The sequence below is a fragment of the Homo sapiens genome, chromosome X (assembly GCF_000001405.40).
Source record: "Homo sapiens chromosome X, GRCh38.p14 Primary Assembly".
Lineage (NCBI taxonomy): Eukaryota > Metazoa > Chordata > Mammalia > Primates > Hominidae > Homo > Homo sapiens.
Genome location: NC_000023.11, coordinates 27,458,902 through 27,475,180, shown reverse-complemented (window position 1 = coordinate 27,475,180; position 16,279 = coordinate 27,458,902). Strand labels below are relative to the sequence as shown.

Below are 16,279 nucleotides of genomic sequence, written 5' to 3'. Positions count from 1 at the left end.
TAAAGTCATTTTGCTTAAATAGTAACTCATGAAAAAATCGACTCTGGCCCCAAGCTATAAGTGAAATCAAGTGACTTGACCTATTTTCACAAGAAAACCAATTAAAATAAGACACTGAGAAGTGGCAAGATCACCTGGAGTGCCATGATTTCTTGAGGAGGACTCCTATTACACAACACTCACTGTCTTGCTCTAAAAGGAACCTTAGAGCAGCCCCTCTTCCAAAGCATCCAAGGCCCAGAGCAATTCAGAGTCCCTTTTTTTGAGGTTCTCCTTTACCGCCTTCACTTCATATAGTGCCTGGGCCAGAGAAGTAGGTAGGAGTCACTCGTGTCTTTTGTGTCACTCTCTCAGAACTCTAAGCAGTGCATAAACACATCCCAGACTTGATAAATGTGCATTTAATACCTAACCATTGAGCCAATAAGAACAAAAAGCCTATCATTTCTTGGACCCATTTGCCTTTAAAAGGAGCATAATATGTTAAAGAACATTTTTTGTTGCTATTCAGGTGTAAGATTTTAACATGAACCAACATGTTTAAATAACAACGTCACCAGTAACCAGTGTTTTATACCTGTTACCTCTTCTAATCCCATAACAACTAAATGAAGTAGGTAATAGTTCCACTTTAAAGATGTAGAAATTGAGGCCAAGACATAGTAAGAATATTGTTCATGTCACATTACTAGTGCCTGATACAGCCTGAGTTTCAACTCAAGGTATCTATTTTTGTGTTTGGGCTCCTAACCACCAAGCTTGCATCCTCTCACAGACACAGATAAGGACAGAAATGTGGATCTGGATATGTACGCATATGTGGGTGGGATAAAAATATGGATGCAAATGTAGAGATAGATGACTATAACTATATGCCACTATATCTGTATTTATCTTTTGAATATAAAATAAATAGTAAATATATATCATTGCACTTTTTGCAATGTACTTTTTAATTTTCATTTCCTTGTAAGCTTTCTTCTTTCGGTCCTTTGTTTCACTAACTAGGTTTCTTCCTTTCTTTCTTTGAACTATTTTCTGCGTGGGGATAATTGCTTCTTGTACAATGAGCAACTGACACTTCCCTGAAATAACTGAGAATACCCGAGGGACACATTTATAGTCAGAGGCTTTAGGTGTTAAAATACCCTCGGGACTCCAATTGAGCCTGAACATTAGAGCCCTAGGGAATGGATATGTCTTATCATTTTTTTTTGCTTTCCTTTGCTACTTATTCTTAATAAATGGCAAAGACTCCCATAAGTATACGCCCAGAGCAACCTCAAGAATATTGCAAAAAATGCGTATTCTTCCTCTCTTATTTCCATTGTTGAATTAAAATGAAAAGCAGGCTAATATTTCTGAAGGCAACAGAAGTACACATGACATTGATATTGGATAATTAGACATGTATAATTTTAGCATAATGGGGGATTTCTGTAAAGATATTTAGAATTACTGTATATTAGAATGATATTTCTCTTTTAGATATGCAACTAGAGTTAGTTGTTGTGAAGATTAAAAAAAAAATGCAACCCCAAAAAGGTAGATTAATAGTCAGTTACCAAAGAAATTATAAATGCCATGGTAAGGTCAGATATGTTTGGCCTGGGAAGACACGCACTTAACTTCAGATGAAAGAAAGCAATTTAGCATATATGTGAGCTCTCATTTTCTGACCCTGCCATTGAAAAGAGAATAGGAAGAAAGTAAAACAGGAAGGTTTATTTAAGAGAAAAGGCAAAGAAAAAAAAAAAGAATCTCACTGATGTAAGTTGAAGGATATTAGAAAATGCCATCTGTGGAAGTTGTTACATCTTCATACCCACAGGTCTTTAAAATTAAAGCAAAAAGAAAAACTGTTCAGGATAATAAAACCAGTTTAGGCAATCCAGTTATAGCTGTGGATGGCATTTGCTTATATGTGTGAAAGCAAGAACAAAGTTATCAGTTAGATAATATCAAATGAAAAAATTTAGAAATGGTTTTTCACATACAAAATTTTTAGAAATGGTTCTTCCTATGCATTAGAAGTGATATTGTGTGAGTGAATAAACTGACATGCTCCATAATGTGATTATCACAAAGAATAACCCTATCAATGAATGCAAGGAACAAACTGCTATGAAAACTATGTCTACAAAGACTTCTTATGAGTTCAGAGTGGGAAAAATCTAGAAAGAAAAAAATGCATTTGGAAAGAAAAAGTGTTGCAAAAAGCGAAAGGGTCAAGATAGTAGTACTGAAGGTAAATTAAAGTAGCACACAGTTGTAAAACTAATGTTTCAAATAAAGCTTATCACAGTCAGAGGCATGAGAAAAAAAGGAGAATAAAATTTAAAGTTAGTTCACCTCTATTTAAAGCAAACATAACTAAAATGCCCATTAATGATAGACTGGATAAAGAAAATGTGGTACATATACATAATGGAATACTATACAGTCATAAAAAGGAATGAGATCATGTCCTTTTCAGGGACATAGATGAAACTAGAAGCCATCATCCTCAGCAAACTAACGCAGAAACAGAAAACGAAACACCGCATGTTCTCACTCATAAGTGGAAGCTGAACAATGAGAAAACATGGATACAGGGAGGGGAACATCACACACTGGGGCCTGTCAGTGGGGAAAAGGGGAGGGAGAGCATCAGGACAAATACCTAATGCATGTGGGGTTTAATACCTAGGTGACGGGTTGATAGGTGCAGCAAACCACCATGGCACACGTTTACCTATGTAACAAACCTGCAAGTTCTGCACATGTATCCCAGAACTTAAAGTAAAATTTAAAAGAAAAGAATATTTATACTTTGAGGTTAAATACTTTAAGGGAGAGAGATCATGAAGTAGAAGCACTTTATATCTAATTGTCCTCTATGTGTACTATTAAGAAGAAAAAGAGGGGGATGGGGGATAAGAAGAGATCTATGGAGACATATATTGCCTGTCCAAATGCTTAAGAGTCTAACTTGATGATTTTATAACGTAGACATAAAATGTGACTTCTGTACCTATTTAAAGAGAAGGGAAAGAGAATGGTGATGTGTCTTGTAGCAAAGAGCTTACATACACAGATTCTTGAGTCTGACTACCAGGGTTCAAATCAAAGCTCAGAATATTTACTCACTGTGGAAATTCAGACAAGTTTGTTAACCTCCTTATCCTCATCCAGAAATAAGTTTAGGAAAGAACGTGAAAAAAAACAGGTTAATGAAATCAGATACCAAATTGATAGATTTTAATAATATGAGGAGGAATTGAATTTTTTATCATGAAATGTTTCCACTATAAGAAAAGGGTGATTTTTACACATTCTTTGATGCATTCATTCATAATAGTCACTGAACACCTATTGTCTTCTAGATAATGCAATGCAGAAAAAAATAAGATGGGCCGAGACCTATCTTTGTCTTTTTTGGGCTGGGGGAGTGGGATGAGAGCAGAATAAGACAATAAAAGTAACTAAATGTGGTAATTCTAGATTGAGAAAGTTCTGTTGAGAAACTGAAATAGGGTAATGTTAGAGTATGAAGAGAAGTGGTTGCTGCCTCAGATTTTGTGGGCAAAGAATTTTTTGAGGGACTGCTTTTTTAAATGGAATGTGAACCATGAGGAAGGAGATATGAAAATATAGGGGCGTGGAGGTCTGGTCAGCAACCCTTAGAAGGGAAAAAGATATGCACGAAGGACAGTGAGCTGGAACAAAGTGCGGGAAGAAAGGTGAGATGGGGTGAGGCGGTGGGGCCTGGTAGAATGCTAAAGAGTGTAGATTTATAGAAAGTAGTATGCAAGCTCTGGGTGCTGTGAGAACGGACTGCAGGAAAACAAAAGGGAATTGCTAAAACAACAAATTCACTTCTTCATTATTTTTCTGGAGAAGGGCCTGATGATAAATGCCACGTATTGTATTTACTGTAAATATGAAGAAATCCTGATTAATAGAAATCTTGAACCACAAAAATTCAAATAAGCTGGTTTTACTATATCAGACATGAAAAGACGACCATACAACTTGTCTTTTGAGATTTACTATTTGCATTTTAAAAACTTAGTAGATGATAAGAACTGAAAATTATTTCTGGTAGTCATTCTCAACCAACTGTGATTTTGCCTCCTTCACCCAGGGTATATTTGGCCCTGACTGAAGATATTTTTGGTTGTCACAAGCAGGGAATGTGGTGTTAATGACATCGAATGGGTAAACCACAACTACCCTGCTATACCTACTCTCAGTAATCAACCAACCAATCAAACAACAAGCCCACAAATACAGGCATTTTTAAGGCATAAAATCTTCATTAAAATTCACTTTATAAGGTCACATTTTGTGATAAATATAATGCTTAAGAGGCATCTAAAACATAGGGAACCAATGCAGTTATTGTTCTTAAAAGGTCATGCAATATGTATGAGTACTAAGAATTTTTATCTTTGTTTTACATGTTACTGTATGTATCACCTACATGGCCCTGAAAGAGCCAATCTATCAAGAGGAATCCTGAGTGGCTAACTAGTCCTAAATTTAAAATAGAGCCAAGTGGCCATTTGCTCACTATAGACCCCACACATACTCTTTGAATTCCCAGAAAACCCACATGTCTGTTTAACTTTGGGACTTTCATAGCTGACTGTTTATGTTCACATGGCCTGAAACTACCAGTAGTATATGGCCGGCATCAACGGATCAAACTCAGCAAACATTGACCAATTAGAGCTCAGCAGGGATCAATCAATCAGAACTAAGCAAGTTGGAATCCTTCATTTGCATAAAGGTCCTGAATAGGAACCTGGGTAGGAACTTTCTCTATGAAAGCTAAATCCTCCCTTGGTTTTCTACAATGCAATTTCATTTTACATTGAAGGCTGTATCTCCCTGGTTTGCAAGTTGTTCTTTGGAATAAACTCTCTTTCCTCTAAATTCTCTTTTAGAGAATATTTGTTCTCACCTACGTATTTGATAAACCCCTTATATTAGAAGTTTTAAAAATTATAATTTTAATTAACTGTAAACAAATGTTTGATTTTTTTTTCTGAATGATTTTAATGTGTAATTCAAAAATACATTCTTACACTATGTCAGCCCTCCTGCTTAAGAAAGTGATAGCAGATCAGGCCAGGCACAGTGGCTCACGCCTGTAATCCCAGCACTTTGGGAAGCCGAGGCGGGCGGATCACCTGAGGTGAGGAGTTCGAGACCAGCCTGGCCAACATGGAGAAACCCAGTCTCTACTAAAAATAAAAAATTAGCCAGGCAGGGTGGCGCATGCCTTTAATCCCAACTACTTGGGAGACTGAGGCAGGAGAATTGCTTGAACTCAGGAGGCGGAGGTTGCAGTAAGCCGAGCCATTGCACTCCAGCCTGGGCAACGAGTGAAAACTCCGTCTCAAAAAAAAAAAAAAGAGAAAATGATAGCAGATCAGCAAGCGGTAACAAAACATAAAAGGTTGTTTTTCAGGAAGAATGAACTAGATCTTCACACAAGTAGTAACGTGTCCAATATCAAGACTAGCCAAAGTGTTTAAGATTTCCCCTATTTATCATGAAATTTTTGTTTCTGTTTCTGACTCAATTCAATTTTCTCATCAGACATCAAACATATTCAAGGCACCCCTTTAAATGTTAATTGAATTAAGGCAAAAATGTTAAGACGAAATAGACTGCTCCTTATAAAATGAAAATATATATTGTATGACGTAAATATATCTTATACTGTACTGAAGAAATGAAGATGATTCTATCTCTAGGCAAAAATTGAGCATTTTTAACTCCAAATTATGCTCATTACTAGTACTTATACAACATGGCTATAGGGTAATTAGTAAGCAGAGAGCTAATGTTATTCTTGATGATCAAGGTAGGAAGAGGAAGTAACATAGTCTATTCAAATAGAGAAGAAAAGATCTATGAATTACAGAATTTAAAACAAAACTGGAAATGAGTCTGGAAGTAACTATTTGAACAGAATTAAAAAGAGAGAACATGGCACTGAAAGTCAGTGCCTAAAATTTACATGAGCTTAAAAGAACATTTTCCCCTTTTTCTTTCCTCTGCTTAATTCATGAGGTGTGAGCAGATTTTGGAGCTTCCAAGGAAGCCATGCGCACAGCTAGTACTGAGAATGTACTAATGCTGACAGAAACTGCTTATGGATCCAAGAAAATACTTGCATGATTCTTACCTCTGAGACACTGGGAAGACAATAACCAGGACTGCTGCAGTGTACACATAACAGGATGATGTTTTCACCTGAGAATAAAAGAAGATTTTAACTGTCCACACATTCTAATACTCTCTGTATAGAGTAGTCATACATCTCTCTTTGCCCAGGGAAGTTCTTGGTTGTACTTGTCCAAGCTTATGAAAGAATACAACATTGTTCCCAATTCTTCATTCTTCCCTCTACCGACGCCCTTTGTTATATAAGTTTGCTATGATCTCCCTGTCTAGGTGGAGTATACTTTTACACCTCTTGATTCTGGTCTTGTCCATGAACTTGATTTGGTCAAACAGAAGTTTGAAATGGGTTGAACGTTTTAATACTAGAAAATAAGGGTTCTTTCAACACTTGAGAGTGGATGGAAAAGCTGCAGTTTCTACCTGAGATTTCTCTCAGGGTTGGGGAAGAAATATTCAACAAAACTTAGAGGAAAACATCCACCTTATTCAATACACGAGTTTTCATGCAACTAAAAGGAGAGTATTGTTTCCTAGTTTACCATCAATAGAAAGAAAACTATCGAAAAAGATGGAATTTAGGTATCAGAAGAAATGACATATGTATTTTGTAAATTAAAAATATCTCCTGATAAGACTATCTAGCTATTCCATAAGAGGACTGAACATAAAGTTCAAATTCACTGTTTCATCTCCAGTGCCTGGTATAGGGCCTGGCCATAGGGGTTTCTCAATCTGTGGACTATCTGTGGAATAAATAAATGGATTATTGGAAATCATCCTATACATAATGCTTATTTGTTCATGCATTTATACTGCAAATAATTACTGAGAAACTATGTGTACCATGCCTATGGTAGATGCTAGGGACACAGCAGTGTGCAAAATAAGGAAATTACCGCCTTCATGTAGTTGATAGTCTGGTTTCAGAAAACAGAATAAATGAAGTTCAAAATGATCACATGATGCTAAGAACTACGGAGAAAATATACATCGAAGAAAAGTGATAGGTGAATTGGAATGGGAGGCCCCTGCAATTTTAAAGAGGGGGTTAGGGAAGGTGTCACTAGAAAAACAAGAACATTTGAATAATTTTTTAAGAAAATGAGCATGTTAGTCACATAGATAATGAGAAATAGAGTGTTCCAGGTAGAAAGAAGGACAGATACAAAGGTCCTGAGGCAAGTGTGCCCAATGTACTTCAGACACAGCAAGATAGCTAGTGTGGCTGAGGCAGAATAAGGAAGAAAGAGACTACGAGGTGAAGAGCTCAAGTAGATCAAGGGGGCCTGATCTTATTGGGATGGATAGACTATAGTTAGAATGTTGGCTTGTGTTCTAAGGTAAAAACATTAATTTTTAGCGAAGAAGTGGGAGAGTGTGACTTCTGATTTAAAAGAATCATTTCTAGCTATTGTGTTGAAAATACACTAGTGTAGGGAAAAGGTGAAAGCTAAGAGAAGAGACTATTAAAAATTTGCAAACCAGAGATGATGGTGGATTTGACACTGGTAGTAATAATGATAACAAATGTGATGAGAAGTGGCAGGATTCTGAACACGTTTTGAAAGTCAGACAGACAGTATATATTAGAAGACTGAATGTGGGGAGTAAGAAAAAGGGAAAAGTCAAGAATGACTTCATATTTTTTACCTGAGCCACAGGAAAGATGGAATTGACACTGCTTGCCTTGTGTTTCAGATATTCCCATAAGAGATGCCATAAAAGGCAACATTCCACAGAATAAGTTAGCTAGAAAACTTGTAGTAAACATGTAGGTGTGTTTTACATTAATTATTTTGATGTTGAAAATTTTAGATGAGATATATTTGAATAACCATATTTTAATGCCATTTCATAAAATCAAAAATCACTTTGTTTTTCCCACTATGAAATGCTCTCTCCTCTTATAGATAGAATATTTAGACATCAAAATATTTCATATATAGTCATGTGTCGCTTAATGACGGGGATATGTTCTTAGAAATGCATCTTTAGGCAATTTTGTCATTGTGTGAACGCCATAGAGCATACTTACACAAACCTAAATGGTATAGCCTACTACACACCTAGGCTATATGGTATACCTTTTTGCTCCTAGGCTACACATCTGCACACCGTGTCACTGTACTGAATACTATAGGCAGTTACAACACAATGGTAAAATTTATGTATCTAAACATATCTAAACATAGATAAGGCAATGCATTGGGCTGCAATGTTATGACAGCTAGGTGATAGGAATTTTTAAGTTCCACTATAATCTTATGGGACCAATGCCATATATGCGGTCCATTGTTGACCTAAATGTCTTTATGTGGCTCGTGACTGTATAAACATTTCATAGGATTTTACTGTACCTAAAATTCAGAAATGTGTGACTCATTCCTTTTTTTGTTTTCTAAAGAACTCTGGAAATATAAAAATTAAACCCATCACTTCTCGGACTTTTGGCTAAGATCAAGTGTAAAAATTAAACCCTAGTGGTCTTAAGATGTGGATGAATTACAAGATCCTTTTGTAAAACTATTTATTTTCAGAACAGAGTCATGAAGAACTAAATCTTACTACCCTATGGTCATGGGGAGGAAATGTGAGAGGGGCAAGCATGCAAAACAAAAGAGGAATTCTTAATCTTAAGACTCAGTCTGCACATTTTTATTTTGAACTGGCCTCAAATATTTTTCTTCACATAATAAAATGAAGAAACACCAAATAACAGTCATAGTTGGAATAAAAACTACATTGTTGTAAACATCTGCTATAAAAATTTATATACTGTCTGAGAGAGAGCACTGCATATTGGGAAGAGCAAAGTGCCGAGTTGGAACTATAAAAGAACTGGTTTCAAGTTCTGGCATCATCACTTACTACAGGGGTTTGAACCAAATGTTTAACTCAGTTTTGGAGTTTGAAGCTTTTTCCTCTCTAATAAGGTAGTAATAGTATTTTTCTTAGGTCACTTTTTATGAGGACTAAATGAAAAAGTAAATAGTGTATATTTAAAGGATTTACACAGCTCCTAGAATATTTTATTCTTATTACTTTGCTCCCTGTAAGACAACAGTAAAAATAAAAAATAATAATGTTAACTGATGAAGAAAACAGGACATTGCTCTACTTATCGCACCAAATAAAGACAGGAACTGAAAGAAACTACTGCAGAAATAGCACTAAGAAATGTGAATATGAGACTTTTAGATTGTAGAGACTTTAGTTAACCTAATTAAGATGAAGGAACCTTAGTTGGCCTAAGGGAAACTCCCAGTGACGAAATTGTGAGGACACAGAGATTTGTGCTGAATGCCTCTCAGAGAATGGAACTTGAAGGCATATTCAAGGGATTGACAGTATTATAATTGATTTTGATAGAGACTTCAATATAAACACAGCAGAGAAAAATTAGACCATTAGCATACATGTCAGTATTATTATTGTGTATTTGCACATACTGTCGTGTTGAAAGAAGATTTGTTTAGTACACATATCATTCTCATATGTCATTTATTAATTTTATGTTTAAATATTATTTATAATTTGTAAATGCTTCTAAACCAGCAGTTTCCTGGCATTGACTTAAATTTTCCCATGAAATAATTGTCATTTTGTATTCAATTCCCCAAGTGCCTTAGCTGTACTGTCATAAGTAATATTCTTGAACTATACTCTACTGTAGGCCACATTGCAAAAGAGGTGTGTGGAAATTTTTCTTTTCTACTTGAGAATTATCACATATCTCCAGTGCTATGTAAAATGAAGTGATTGCTACAAATGGGACTCTTCAAGTCCAAATGTGCTTGATGTGCCCCAATTCTTGCTTTCCCTTGCAATAACAGGGTTAATGTTTTGGAAAAATATATTTTAAAAGAAAACTGCAAAACTTGCTGCTACATCAAAAATCAACTTGGCTACTATTAAAATTATATTTAACAGAGTTGCCATATCCAAGCTTCTATTTTTCAGTTGGCTATACACAGATGTGGATCTAAAGGAGGAAGTGCGTGACTTCCATCTTGTCTTGATAATTTTATGTTGATTACAAATTATATAGATGGAAGAAATGTGAAATAAAGTGTAATGACGGCCAAGAAAAGAAGGGGATAGCATAGTTCAATGGCTGAGAAAACCAATTTTGGAAGCAGAAAGACATGTTGAACACAGAGTTCCTCAACTTATTAGTGTGTGACCTTTGGCAATTTATTTAACTTCTCTAAGTTTATTTCCTGATCCTAAAAAGATTACTAATACTTCTATATCATTGGATCATTATGTAAACTAAGTAAGAAAGTAACTCCAACATTCTTGTCAGTGTCTTGAACATAATAAGCATTCAAGTATTATTAGACTTGATCAGTTATGTTATTACCTTTCTTCATAATAATAAGTAATCAAGTATTATTAGTTGTTGTGGTTATTATTATCATTATTAAGAAAAGAAAATAATTGATCTGTGATGGCCAATACTTTCTCGGCTAATTTCAACTCACAGTTTTCCTCTGGCCCAGTCCTTACCTACGAATGACGAGTGTCCTTATGGAGTGGGAAAATTTGGGGAAATGTTTTCCCCATTGTGCTAAAAGATAGAGCTTTAGGATGAGCTAAACAGACCAGAGGAGTTAACCAACTCCTTCTTAAAACAATCCTCCCCAAAGGATGTCTAAGTGAATGATACAGATTCATGCCAAGCCTTATTGGGAAGATTGAATACCATTTCTCTGATTTTTGCTAATGGTCTATAGGCCACTTGCTCCTGCTTCTTTTTTGGACCAGCCTTTTCTTGACATAGAATGTGAAATAGGAACTTTGTCAGGACACAGGTGATTACAGTCTCTTTTATCAAAGTTCCTAAGTTTCCATTCCCAAATACCTGATGAGAGAAAATGTTTCAGAGAAACAAAACCCTTTATAAAAAAATCATATTCTAATTTCTAGGCTTCCATTTGTAAGCTGGGTGGCAGCTCCTTTTAACAAGTATAGTAATGGTTACATAGGCACAATCTTTTGGGGCAGAATTCTGGGGAAATCACAAGATTCCTGCCAGAGCGACGCTTTTCTAGACAATGGAGAACAGTCCAAGAGACTCGCTTTTTTTTTTTTTTTTTTTTTTTTTTTGAGACTAAGTCCTACTCTTGTTGCCCAGGCTGGAGTATAATGGTGCGATCTCGGCTCATTGCATCCTCTGCCTCCTGGGTTCAAAGCATTCTCCTGCCTCAGCCTCTCGAGTGGCTGGGATTATGGGCACCTGCCACCACGCCCAGCTAATTTTTGTATTTTTAGTAGAGACAGGGTTTTACCTCTTTATCCAGGCTCGTCTCGACCTCCTGACCTCATGTGATCCACCCGCCTCGGCGTCCCAAAGTGCTGTGCTGAGATTACAGGTCTGAGCGCACCGCGCCTGGCCTGAGACTCGCTTTTTAAGAGACAGTAGGGGATGGGGTGTTGGGGGGCAATGGAGAGAAGATTCAGTGTGCTTGAGGTGGGGGAAAGTGAGAGGTAACAGGGCCTCCAGAGGGAATAGGAGGGAACCCTGCCGCCCTCTGGCCTCTCCAGAGCCTTGGCTCCGCCCCTCTAGCCACTATTGATTGGCAGTCTTCTATCAGGGGTGCCCTCTCGGCCACCATCGTTTTCAAAATAACAGCGGCTTCCATGCTGTACCGGAAGCAGTGCCGTGGAGAACAGACCTGACGGGGCGAGGCCAGAGGACGCTATGGCAGGCCTGAGGTACAGTGTAAAAGTCTATGTCCTGAACGAAGACGAGGAATGGAACAATCTAGGCACCGGTCAGGTCTCATCCACCTATGACGAGCAGTTCCAGGGCATGTCGCTGCTTGTTCGGTCAGATTCAGATGGGTCGGTCATCCTGCGGTCACAGATACCTCCAGACAGGCCCTATGGGAAATACCAAGAGACACTAATTGTTTGGTATGAAGCTGAGAACCAGGGTTTGGTGCTAAAATTCCAGGACCCAGCCGGCTGCCAGGATATTTGGAAAGAAATTTGCCAAGCTCAAGGTAAGGATCCGTCTATCCAAACCACAGTGAACATTTCAGATGAACCAGAGGAAGACTTTAATGAAATGTCAGTAATTAGTAATATGGTTGTGCTGCCTGACTGTGAACTCAATACACTTGATCAAATTGCTGACATAGTTACCTCAGTTTTCTCGTCACCTGTTACGGATAGGGAAAGACTGGCTGAGATCTTGAAAAATGAGGCTTATATTCCAAAACTACTGCAACTGTTCCACACTTGTGAAAATCTAGAGAATACTGAAGGTTTACACCATTTGTATGAAATTATTAAGGGAATTTTGTTCCTCAACGAGGCATGTCTGTTTGAGATAATGTTTTCTGACGAGTGTATCATGGATGTGGTGGGATGCCTTGAGTATGACCCTGCTTTGGATCAGCCAAAAAGGCATAGGGACTTCTTGACCAACGATGCGAAGTTCAAGGAAGTTATACCAATAACTAACTCTGAACTTAGGCAAAAAATACATCAGACATACAGATTACAGTACATTTATGACATTCTTTTGCCTGTGCCTTCCATATTTGAAGATAATTTTCTTTCTACACTTACAACTTTTATTTTCTCCAACAAGGCTGAGATAGTAAGCATGCTGCAGAAAGATCACAAATTTTTGTATGAAGTTTTTGCACAGTTAAAGGATGAGACTACACATGATGATAGACGGTGTGAATTGCTATTTTTTTTCAAGGAGTTATGTTCATTTTCTCAGGCATTACAGCCTCAAAGCAAGGATGCACTATTTGAAACGTTGATACAGTTGGGAGTTCTTCCTGCTCTTAAAATCGTAATGATCAGGGATGATTTGCAAGTAAGGTCAGCTGCTGCAGTTATATGTGCTTATCTAGTGGAGTACAGTCCATCCAGGATCCGAGAATTTATAATTTCAGAAGCTCACGTGTGCAAAGATAGTGACCTTTTCATTAATGTAATAATTAAACAAATGATCTGTGATACTGATCCTGAGTTAGGAGGTGCTGTTCATTTGATGGTAGTTCTGCATACTCTACTTGATCCACGCAACATGCTGACAACACCTGAGAAAAGTGAAAGAAGTGAATTTCTACATTTCTTCTACAAACATTGCATGCATAAATTTACAGCACCACTTTTGGCTGCCACCTCAGAACACAACTGTGAGGAGGATGATATAGCTGGATATGACAAAAGCAAAAATTGCCCCAATGATAATCAAACAGCACAACTGCTTGCTTTGATATTAGAGCTACTTACATTTTGTATACAACATCATACATTCTACATAAGAAGCTATATCTTGAACAAAGACTTGCTAAGAAAGGCCTTGATATTGATGAATTCAAAGCATACTCACCTGATTTTGTGTGTTCTTCGCTTTATGAGAAGGATGATTTGCCTTAATGATGAAGCTTATAATAATTACATCATCAAGGGAAATCTTTTTGAGCCAGTTGTAAATGCTCTTCTAGATAATGGAACTCGGTACAATATGTTGAATTCAGCTATTCTTGAGCTATTTGAATACATAAGAGTGGAAAATATCAAGCCTCTTGTTTCACATATAGTTGAAAAGTTTTATAACACACTTGAATCGATTGAATATGTTCAGACATTCAAAGGATTGAAGATTAAATATGAAAAAGAGAGAGACAGACAAAGTCAAATACAAAAGAATTTACATTCTGTACTGCAAAATATAGTAGTTTTCAGAGGTACCATAGAAGAAATTGGGCTGGAAGAAGAAATATGTTTTATGGAAGATGCAGGAGAAGTAGTTATGCCACCACTGGAAGATGACGATGAATTTATGGAGACCAAAAGAACCCAAGAAGGAGAAGCAGTTATGCCACCACTGGAAGATGACGATAAATTTACGGAGACCAAAAGAACCCACCAAGAAGGAGAAGCAGTTATGCCACCACTGGAAGATGACGATGAATTTATGGAGACTAAAAGAAACCAAGAACATGAAGGCAAGGTAGACTCTCCCAAAAGAACATCTTCTGGTGACTTCAAATTCTCTTCATCTTATTCTGCTTGTGCTGCTATTGGAACAGGTAGCCCAAGTGGTAGCAGTGTGGTTCGTTTAGTGGATCATCCAGATGATGAAGAAGAAAAAGAGGAAGATGAAGAAGAAAAAGAGGAAGATAAAGAAGATGAAACATCCCCCAAGAAGAAACCTCATCTTAGCTCCTAAAATCTATATGGGGCACCCTCAAAATGTGGCTCAACAAAAATTCTATAAACGTCCATAAGCTAAAAAGACTGATTCCACAAGCTTTTTCATGTGAACTTATAATGATAAATCACAGATATAACGAGTTAAGAGGGTTTAATTCTGTAAAAACAAAATTTCTCATAATCTTAAAAAAAAACAGTAACCAGAACCTGGGTGATAAACTTTTTAGCAAGAAAGTCTTAATTTGTGTCACGATTTGGGGGAGGAAACCATCTTTGGGAAGGAAAGTCTTAGTTTGGAATGGGGAAGAACCAGGTCGATAATGTTAATGTAGTTTTGTTCTAGAGGTATATATTAGAAATAATAACAGTTCAGTTAAAAGCCTACAAATTACTTGTATAATGGTACTAGCCATGGTATTCTTTCCTTCAGTTACCTTTTTAACACAAAAGTTTATGTTTATATGAAAAACAAAGTTAACTATAAAAAATGTTAGTCTCTTCAGACATTTCTATAAAGATATAACAAAATTTAAGCTTATAAGTAATTGGAAGGAAGTAGCTTTCAGAGTGTACTTTCATTCATTAAAAAAGCAAGCTGGATTTACAATGTGTGGTTATTTGTTTTTATTAAAACAATAGAAATGTATTCTCTCACTGTTCTGGAGGCTGGAAGTCCAAAATCAAGGTGTCAGCAAGGCCATGACCCCTCAGACACTGGATAGCATCCTTCCTTGCCTTTTCCTAGCTTCCTTCCATGGGTGGCCATGGATTCTTGGAGGTGATTGGCTTGTAGGTGTATTAGTCCAAACTTTGCCTGTGTGGTCACATGGCATTCTTCTTGTGTCTATGTGGTTGTTTATATAACTTTTTTTTTTTTGAGATGGAGTCTCACTCTGTCACCGAGGCTAGAGTGCAGTGGTGCAATCTCGGCTCACTGCAACCTCTAGCTTCTGGGTTCAAGTGATTCTCCTGCCTCAGCCTCCCACATAGCTGGAACCACAGGCATGCACCACTATGCCAAGCTAATTTTTGTATTTTTTTGTGGAGACGGGGTTTTGCCACGTTGGCCTGGCTGATTTCGAACTCCTGACCTCAAGTGATCCACCCGCCTAGGCCTCCCAAAGTGCTGGGATTACAGGCATGAACCACTGTGCCCAGCCTATTATAACTATTTTAGATAAGAGATGGCAAACATCAGTCCAGTAGTATTTGCAAAATTTTCTTTTTTTTGGAATGAGAATTTCTTTTTTTTATTTTTTATTTTTTAAAATAATTTTATTGATCATTCTTGGGTGTTTCTCAGAGAGGGGGATGTGGCAGGGTCATAGGACAATAGTGGAGATAAGGTCAGCAGATAAACACGTGAACAAAGGGCTCTGGTTTTCCTAGGCAGAGGACCCTGTGGCCTTCCACAGTGTTTGTGTCCCTGGGTACTTGAGATTAGGGAGTGGTGATGACTCTCAACGAGTATGCTGCCTTCAAGCATCTGTTTAACAAAGCACATCTTGCACCGACCTTAATCCATTTAACCCTGAGTTGACACAGCACTTGTTTCAGAGAGCACGGCGTTGGGGGTAAGGTTATAGATTAACAGCATCCCAAGGCAGAAGAATTTTTCTTAGTACAGAACAAAATGGAGTCTCCTATGTCTACTTCTTTCTACACAGACACAGTAACAATCTGATCTCTCTTTCTTTTCCCCACATTTCCCCCTTTTCTTTTCGACAAAACCGCCATCGTCATCATGGCCCGTTCTCAATGAGCTGTTGGGTACACCTCCCAGACAGGGTGGCGGCCAGGCAGAGGGGCTCCTCACCTCCCAGATGGGGTGGCTGGGCAGAGGCAGTCCCCACCTCCCAGACAGGGCGGCCGCCGGGCAGAGGCGCTCCCCACCTCCCAGACGGGGCGGCCG

The 16,279-nt window shown here is 37.6% G+C and overlaps 2 protein-coding genes across 2 annotated transcripts in view, besides 2 other annotated features; one reads left to right on the top strand and one right to left on the bottom strand.

The window, feature by feature from the left end:
• The window catches only part of DCAF8L2 (DDB1 and CUL4 associated factor 8 like 2), a 281,002-nt gene extending 274,762 nt beyond the window's left edge, over window positions 1-6,240 (bottom strand). Inside the window, exon 1 of the mRNA XM_024452372.2 lies at window positions 6,182-6,240. The gene's annotated coding sequence lies outside the window, so the exon portion shown is untranslated. The remainder of the gene's footprint in view (window positions 1-6,181) is intronic.
• Window positions 4,427-4,985: an enhancer, noted in NCBI's record as "NANOG hESC enhancer chrX:27488313-27488871 (GRCh37/hg19 assembly coordinates)". NCBI's record gives its function as "activates a minimal SCP1, AML or CMV promoter by ChIP-STARR-seq in naive H9 embryonic stem cells {active_cell/tissue: H9 hESC(naive)}" and the evidence as "EXISTENCE:reporter gene assay evidence [ECO:0000049][PMID:30033119]".
• Window positions 11,727-12,926: an enhancer, noted in NCBI's record as "MED14-independent group 3 enhancer chrX:27480372-27481571 (GRCh37/hg19 assembly coordinates)". NCBI's record gives its function as "activates an origin of replication core promoter dependent on BRD2, BRD4, P300/CBP and CDK7 cofactors, and independent of MED14, by STARR-seq in HCT116 cells {active_cell/tissue: HCT116}" and the evidence as "EXISTENCE:reporter gene assay evidence [ECO:0000049][PMID:35650434]".
• Window positions 11,840-14,974, top strand: PPP4R3C (protein phosphatase 4 regulatory subunit 3C). Its single transcript, NM_207319.4, has one exon. It carries the CDS (start codon window positions 11,885-11,887, stop codon window positions 14,381-14,383), a length of 2,499 nt encoding a protein of 832 aa, NP_997202.3. The 5' UTR covers window positions 11,840-11,884; the 3' UTR covers window positions 14,384-14,974.
• The last annotated feature ends 1,305 nt before the right edge of the window (window positions 14,975-16,279 follow it).

Coding starts and splice junctions, on each gene's coding strand:
- PPP4R3C (NM_207319.4), top strand. CDS start 11,885: ATGGCAGGCCTGAGGTACAGTGTAAAAGTCTATGTCCTGAACGAAGAC.